Here is a 9,180-nt window from a genome sequence, read left to right as displayed (position 1 = left end):
GGAGAAGGCGGGGATCAGGTGGGATGGGGTGGAACACACAGCCAATGTCAGCCATTGCTAAGGCCCTAGCTTTCAGGCTAAATGGTGGCTTCAGAGGTGTTCATCTTGTTACTTTAAAATGTGATCTGGCTGGGAGTGGTGGGTCACACCTGTAGTCCCAGCACTTTGGGAGGCGGAGGCAGGCAGATCTCTTGAGGTCAGGAGTTTGAGACCAGCCTGGCCAACATGGTGAAACTCCGCCTCTACTAACAATACAAAAATTAGCCAGGCATGGTTGCAGGTACCTGTAATCCCAGCTACTTGGGAGGCTGAGGCAGGAGAATCACTTGAACTCAGGAAGTGGAGGTTGCAGTAAGCCAAGATTGTGCCACTGCACTCCAGATTGGTTGACAGAGCGAGACTCCATCTCAAAAAAAAAAAAAAAAAAATGGGGCCTATAACACAGCTAAGGAAGTAGGGCCATGCCTGTAACAGCAAATAGCATTGTAAGCCACAGGGTTATCATTTCACCACCTCTTGCGTACCTGTAGTCCATTAGACTTCTTCTAGTGGGAGGGCATTCATTGAAGGGGAAATGGCATGAGCAAAGGAATGATTCTGGTTGTATGGGGGACCATAGAGGAGCCAGACTGGTGCAGAAGGTAACATGATGGTGACCTGGATACAAAAGGAGTCTTTATGCTTTCTAGTCACTCTGGTCAGCAGTTCAGGTGTGGGTGCTTGGAACCTCTCAAGTGCCAAGGGCCCAGCCCTGTGGTCTCAATAATCTTGCCCTTGGCTTCTAGGAGCAGAGAGCTCTGCAGCTGTCCCCCCTGCAGATAACACAGACTGGGTGTGAGCTGGAGATCTGGGGTCAGTGGCTGCAGGACAACACTCTCAGATAGGGTGGGAAGCAGGGGATTTGCCTTCTTGTGCAGTAGTTTACCCATCCCTAAGTCATGTCTCTGAATTGACATACCTTTCACTACAACAACTTAAATGTTCTAGGACTAGGGCACATCCTATCAGGCCTGAGATCCCACTAGGTTCTAGAATATGTGCTGCTTGTGAAGAAGGTGGAGCCTTGGATTCACAATTACTGGGCAGTGTTCTGTCCCCCTGGTCTCCAGGCATCCACCCTCATGACCTCCAGGGTCCCCTCTGTACCTAAATAAGAGGTGACTTGTTATCTGGCTCAGACCAGATTCCTGGAGCCCTGAGTTCTGGCTGTAATTCTCATGAGTGCCCACTTCCAGAGGGGCCACCCCACAGGCCTCCAGAAGTTCTGCAGCCTGGGCCGCCTTCCTCAGACCTCTCTGCCTCAGAGTGTGCAAGAGCCTCGGGGCCTTTCCACCCTCCAAGAACCAGGAAACAGCAGGGAGCAAGAGAAGTCTGTAGCTCCACTGTGGCAAAGAATGGCCTATTTAGGCCAATGGCGGGCCCAAGAGATCACAAACTTACATTTTCTTTGCCCAAAACGTTGAATTTAAGGCTGATTTAAAAGGATGTTCAGGAAAATCATGCTAGAAATTCCAAATATGATTAAAGAATCCTACATCAGAGGTGAACAAAGACCTGTCCCCATGTAATTCCCGAGAAAGTAGGAAGATAGCATTCCCTTTGCCCAGCTCAATGACAGGCCAGGGGACCAGATGTGGTTGTGCACAGGATGAAGCAGCAAGGGTGGAATCTTCCAGAACCCCAGGGAAGACAGGAGCAGAGGGAAGCCTTCACAGAGTACCCAAGAAGGGTGCAGGGAGCTAAACTCTTCTGCCAGAACCCAGCCATATTGCAGTCAAGGGCAAGGATGCCACTGCTGGGGCCTGCAGGGACCTGTGACTGAGGCTGCAGGAGTAGAGAATGCCTCAACACAGCATGGACAACCCCCTCAACACACTCATCCCTCTCTCCCTAAACACACCCCCAACCCCACAGGGCTGGTCCTTGGCAAGTTTATTGGGATTGAGCCATAACAGAGGGAAAGGAGGGCTAGAGGACCCAGGGAGGCTGGGAAGAAGGCTAGACTTGTTTGAGGTAGACCTCCCGCCCTGATAGAATGAGAACCAAAGCAGGCATTTAGACCAGTTAAATAAGAAAAATGAAAGAAATTAGCACAATGGCAAAGTGTGCGCTGGCTCTGGGGCCAGATGGCCTGAGTTTGTACCATGACTCCTTCACTTAGTATTAGTAGTGACAGGTCCATACAGGTCTGCAGCAACCTCAATTCTTGCCTCCTCAAAAAAAAAAAAAAAAAAAATTCAACCAAGCAGCATAATGCAGAGAGAGAGAGAGAGAGAAAGAGGGAGAGACTGAGGCAAGTTTTAGAGCAGGAGTGAAAGTTTATTTAAAAATATTAGGGCAGAAATGAAAGGAAGTAAAGTATACTTGGAAGAGGGTGAAGCAGGCAACTTGACAGAGTCAAGAGAGTGGTTTAACCTTTGACTTTGGGGGCACTTTTCTGAAGGGTTGTATCCCTTCTCCTCTGATTCTTCCCTCAGGATGGGCTGTTCACATATGCAGTGGTCTCTCAGCATTTGATAGGGGCCACATGCACAGTGTGTTTACTGTAGTTGTATACAGGCTCACTTGAAGAATTCCTCCCTTACCAGTCAAATGTTCTCAAAGAAAGATCATATACCAGTTAAACTCCACCATTTTTCCTCTTAGTGTGCATGTTGAGACCACTCTCCCAACTTCTGAGACCTTATTGGGAAGCTGCTGATCACCAACTTCAGGTGTTTCTATCTACTGGAAGACTGCCTTTTCCTAGTGCTTGCTGTGACCAATTATTGTGTTAGAGAGACAGTGTAACAACCACCTAAACATCACCTGGTGATTGCCTGATATTCCTGGTGGTGGGTTGCCAGGGGAGTCTCTCCTACCCTGCTTGTGTTTAACTAGCTACCTACTGTAACATCTCCCTTCTCAAGAGAACAACAGTCCAATTCTTTAAGACAATGGATGAAGTTCAGTCTTCTGTAACTGCTTCCTGTTGACAAAGGCATGGTGGTGGTTGTTTTGTGGGTCTTGGCCTCTTGCTAGCTGTCAGGGCAAAGTGGCTCCATAGGTTGTTGAAAGCAGTATCTGGTCAGGTCTAAGTGAGACAGGAGCAGGATTTCACCTCTGTCATGTCCCACTGATGGGCAGTCTAAAGGTCCCCTGTAAAAGGGTGACTCTTGAATATTGAGAGAATGTTATCCCTTACTAAGGATCATCTGGAATTTGATAGCACATTCCTCTTGTTTCTTCTGAGCTGCAGCCAGAGATCACTGGTTGGTTCACAGGAATAAACAGGGGTAGTCTAAATTGCAGAACAAAATTAAAAACAACTGTTAAGACTAGAATCTAGTAACAGATGTACCACAGTTTTTTAACATAATTGTTTTTCTCTCCAGTTCTCATTTTTATTAAAAACAAGTTATGATAGGACTGATTTCTCTACATAATAAGCTCTAGTCTTATTATATGTGGCCTGATTATTTGCAAAAAGAACAGCAAGAATAATTATCTGCATATATATATATATATATATATATATATATATATATATATATATACTCCTTTTTAAATTGGCTTTGATGAACCATCCTTTCATAAGGAATCTCAGACAAGACTTTCTAGAGCCTTAAGCCCAGCCATGGGTTTGTGCCATCAAATACCTGTATGAATTGGATAAATTCCTCTTATTTTGATGTCCCAAGATAACTTGAGGCTCCTGGACTTGTCAGAAAGTGACATTCTTTACTTACTACAGGTGAGAAACCCCATACAGGGACTGTGTAGACAATGAATTCGGCCAATTTTCCCAAGGGACTTTTATGGGCTTTATAAGTCAAATTTGATTCCTTAAAGGAAAGCAGGCCATTCCAGTCAAAGCCTTGGTAAAATAACCAGTTTATCTAATTGTGTCCTGTTACAAAAGAAAACAGATTCTTATTGTACTTGTGCAAATAACAATATTGTCATAAGTTAAGAATACTCACAAATAGTTTCCAAATTCTAGAGAAATCAGGTAGAGTGAAACAAATATGCTCTAAATATTATTTACAGGAATACTCTATTGTTAAATGCTGTAAATAGCTCAAAAGAAAAGTTTTCTTGACTTCAAAAAACAAAACAAAGAAGCAATGCTTTAAGCAAGAAATTAAAAAAGATTTACTTTGGTTAATTAATTCCTGTTTTGCTCAAAATTTATGAACATTTGTTTTCCAAGAGAGTCTTGAAACTTCTTTCATCTTCATTTTGATGTAACAATCTCCAAAGTTATCAGAAACCTGCAGCCAAAGCACCTGTCAAAGTTTTATAGCCAATTTTAAAACTACCTTTTAAAGAGAATCAAAATAAGACAACAATTGTCTGTGGATAACAAAATGTCTTAGGGAAGCCACAGTCAAAGACAAAATTAACAAGAAACTTTGTTACTTCTGTGGCACACAATAGTTTAACATAACACTTATAAATATTACTGATAATTAATAGTGATATATATCATAATAATTGGAGTTTTAAATAATTTTGGAACACATATCAATAACACATCTATATTATTGATATTAAACACAATTCTTTATGAAACCTTATAGACAAATCTATTCAATCTTAATCAGTTCGACCATAAGGTAAGATTCTCATAAACCTTTTATAACTATTTCCAATTATTGGTTAAGTGAAGTGCAATGTTATAAGAAAACATTATTGTGTTTTTTTCCAATGTTCAATGTATGGATAAACTGAATAATACCCCTTTAACTTTAGCCAATAGGTTTACAAACAGAATTTGTTTTACAACATTAATCCTTCACAAACCTTTCCTAAAGTACTCAAAACTTCAGATTTATTCTGTCTTACTTAAAACAATCCTTTAACCATCTAAACTAAGCAGAAAAACCCACATTTTCATGCTTTCTTGTAATCTTTTACCAAAAGCACATTCTACTTTCCTTACACACCTTGCACGTAAAACTGTTTTTCCAGTAGTCTTAAATACAGTTACACTGTTAACTCTTAGCAACTTTAACTTTTACTTTTGGTGAAAAACCTGGTAAGTTATTTTAGTTATGTACTAAATGTGGACCCTAGGACACCAGACAGAAATGCAGACAATCTCTGACACTTTTTAGCATAGCTAGGGGTCATGGGTAACTCTGTATGCCTCCAGCCTTATATAGCTTAAAAGCACACAAGTTGTACAGTTAAGAGTCACAGTAACAGCTTATGAAGCATTTAGTAGATCTCATAATCTTTAAAATTGTATAAGATTTCTTTTATAAATTCCCTTTCATGAGTTTTTAACTTACCCAGACCATCTATGACATGCTTGGACTTTCTGACTTTTCCTAAACAACCAGTTATTTTACTGTAGGACAAAAATTTACCATACAGGATCCTTTTTCATATAAAATCTCTTTTCTTTATACCCTTTCTTCCCAGAAATACCTTTACCTTTATAATCTTTGAACTAGACAAAAGTCATTTTCATTCTGTTAGGAAGTTATGGTTTGTACTGCATGTTGCTGTGTGAGTCCTGTGAAGAGGGAGCAAGTAAAGAGGTTGTCTGCATACCATAGAAGTTATCCACCCTCAAGAGATTGCGTGGTTAGATTTATTGCTAGGGCACATTTGAATGAGTGTGGGCTATTTTAAACCACTGAGGTAAGATTATCCAAATTAAAGTTATTGCTTAAAGATTTAGGTTGCTTTCCCAGAAGAGATAGGACTATTAGAGGGAGAGATGAAATTTAGAGGTTGGGTGAATATTGAGCAGGCACCCATCTTGGAAAGTATATTTTCACCCCAAAGGGGTGTGAATCTTTTCTTTTGGAGGGAGAGGGTGCTACTTGCCTCCATTATTGGGCCGGATTTGGAGGAGAATTGCTTAGAGAAAGAAATTAGCAGAGTAAGAAGCTCTTAAATGCAAAAGAGAAATTCACAATTTTACTTGCCACTTCGAGTTGCCCTTGGCTTTGTCCTATTGATGACCATGTCTGATCTGGGAGCCAGCTGGAGCAGAGGGTCCCTTCAGCTCAAAACCATCAGAGATTGGGGTTCTGTCCCAAGGGCCCTTCAGCCCTCAGAGCAGTCCTGTTTCCTGTGGCTGAGCTTGTGGCAGAGGGGGCATTCCATGCAGGACTTCTTCTTATTTATCCCATTAGGCAGTTTGCCTTCCAGTGGCCTGGCTTCCTGTACTGATTGCAGTTACCTGGAGGAGTGTCCTTAGGTCAACCTGGAGGGGGCTGTTGGACTAGCAGAGCAGCCAATAGTTGAAACTGCCTCTTCTCCCTGCATTTGTTTTTTTCCTTAGCCCTGTCCTTCTTGTTCTGATCTTGGTTACAAAAGACTCAGGAGGCTAATTTGAGGATTTTCTGCTTAAGAACCCTGGATTTTAAGGTTGACTTTTGTAATTTTTCCCAGTTCATTTTTAGGCCAAACAGTATTACCAAGGAAACCTAGCTTTTGTTTAGGTGATCAGACTTTTCCCAGTCCTTAAGGATTCATCTGAGGGGCATGGCCTGTGGTATGGAGATTGAATTACCCACCTGCAAAGGGAGAATGAGGAGAAATAAAGGAAAAAGGAAAAAGAAGGCCTCCCCTCTTACTGTTCTATTATCCCAAATGGGGTGTCCCAAATTCATCCTTAGCCTTCTGGAATGAACTGGTCTTACCATGTACCCTTAACCTTGGTACCATCTCATCATGATTACCCACTTGAGGACAGAAAACCTACTGGAGTGAACAAGGCGGGCCCCTCTTTATCTTTGGGGTTCTGGAATAAACCAGTCTTATTTTGTACTTCTCACCTTGCCTTCATCTCTGCTCTAATGGTCATGTGTTAGCCTGGGACAAACCTTCATCTCTGTCTTATGGGTCTCTTGTGCCTGTGGCCTTTGGCCAGGCTCCATCCTTGTCTCTATGACCTTAGAATGACCGTCACTCAGAGCATTTGAGCAACAAAATAATGATCTCTTTTCTCAGATTTCCATTTCCCATGTTCTTTAAGTAGATGAGAAGCCTGCCTTTTAGCTAACTGCTCCAAAGGGGCTGGACTTCCTTCCCTTCGAATAGGACTGTAAGGTCTTGATGTATATTAAGAAGGGCATGGAATTGATTAGAGAAACGAAGGCTATGATAGGAAATGGAAGGAAGCGAGAGGAATACTCACAGAAAGCCTTTCTATGCTCCCCAAGACAGCAGCCTTTGGACTCGAGAGGGTAACGTTTATTTGCCCTCCTGACATAAAGTAGTAACCTCTGGAGGACTTGGGGCTTAGGGTAAGAACCTGCAAATGGCAAAGAAAGAATTTCTTCTCCTCTCAAAGAGGTACTACCTCAAAAAAAAAAAAAATAAAGCAAATAGATGGGGTCCTTAAAAGGCTACTGTTTAAGGCCCTATGCAGGCAGACAAACCGCTTCAAAAGCCACCAAACAATTTAGCCCTGGAGCATAACAAGAATGAAAAGTGTGTGGTAAGTGATGATGCAATAGGAGAGCTGGGGTTCTGATTAGCGTCTGTTCTGGCAATGCACCATCAGACAGGTCTTCCAAGCTGGCAGGATAGAAACAAGTATAAATCTCAGGGGATATCAGCAAGGCAGCCCATGTATTTGCTGTCAAGCAAATGCAACAAGAGCCACAGGTACACAAATAACAGAGTGTGTATTTAAGAAGTCACAGGGCATTCAAAATGAAAGCAAAGGAGTCAGAGTTGCCCCTGAGGCAGATGGTCTGGTAAGTGTGCAAGGGCATTTTAGAATACACACAGAGAGAACAGAAGAATAAGCAGTGTGAGTTTTTGGGAAAGAGTCAATTTTAGTTGAAAAAGCAGAGGAAACCCCAGATATTGCATGGTATTAGGCTTTAGCCCTACCACTCCTGTCCAGAAAAGCCAGTAGTGTCTCAGGTCTACTTGGTATTGACTCCAGGGTTCTTCCCGCCCCTGCAAGTCACCGGTGAGGGTAAGCTGAGACATCAGCCAGCGGGAGCAGAGGCAGTGTGGCCAAGAGAAACAATTTTTAGGGTTGGTTAATAAGCAGGAGAGCAAAAGGAGAGAAGGAAACTCTCTATAGGGGTTGAACGCCTGCAAACAGAAAAGGTGAGGCTTAGATGTATCTTATTGCCAGGAAATGTATCTGAGTCATGCAGCAAAAAAGTATGTTAGCAGCAGTGAATCCACAGGGGTCTGCAGCAACCTCGATGCTTGCCTCCTCAGAAGAAAGAATTTGACCAAGGGGCATAAGACAGAATGAGAGACTGAGGCAAGTTTTAGAGCAGGAATGAAAGCTTATTAAAATATTTTAGGGCAGGAATGAAAGAAATTAAAGTATACTTGGAAGAGGGCCAAGCAGGCAACTTGAGAGAGTCAAGTGCATGGTATAACATTTGACATGGGGTCTTATATGTAGGCAGACTTCTAGAGGATTGCATCCCTTCTCTCCTGATTCTTCCATTAGGGTGGGCTGTCTCCACATGCCATGGCCTGTCATCATTTGGGAGGGGCCCATATGCAGCGTGTTGAGAAAAATACATCACAAATCTAACTGCAAGGAACTTGTAGCCAAAATAATTAAAATTGGTAAAAATGCATAATGTGTAGGTCTAGATGCCCCTCCAGGACATGAGCAAAGGACAAGTCCAGGTGGTTTTCTCAGAAGCCATTGTCACAGCCCAAGAGAGCCACACTGTGGCCTAGAGGCCCCAACTTCAGTAGTAATTCAGAGTCCACAGATCCAACTGCTTAATGAGCCTGCACTTATTTCTTCATTTGTAAAATGGGCATGATTATATCTACTTTGCAGAAATCTTATGAGGACAAATTAGACAGCCTGTCATTATAGTAAGTATACAAGAAATGGGATTATTCTATTATCAGAGGAATTATTCTAATAATTATTCTATTATCAGAGGAAGAAAATGCACAGCATCACTAGCAATGAAAGATGTGGAAGTGGTGACAATTTAAAGGTAAGATGACTCATTCATTAAAGTAGAAAGAGATATTCTAGTTCACAAAAAGACTTCAACAAAAACATTAGCAGCCGTATCCTTTATAACTTGCAAATTCTCAAAGAAGCCCAGATGTCCATTCGTAGATAAATAAATTGTAGTATATTCATGCAATAAAATGCTTCTCAGCAACAAAAAAGAGTAATTCACTGGTGCATGCAATAACGTGAATAAATTGCAAAGTCACTATGCTGGGTAAAGG

This window comes from Homo sapiens, chromosome 8, assembly GCF_000001405.40.
Source record: "Homo sapiens chromosome 8, GRCh38.p14 Primary Assembly".
In the NCBI taxonomy this organism is placed as follows: Eukaryota; Metazoa; Chordata; class Mammalia; order Primates; family Hominidae; genus Homo; species Homo sapiens.
This window is presented reverse-complemented; position numbering follows the sequence as displayed.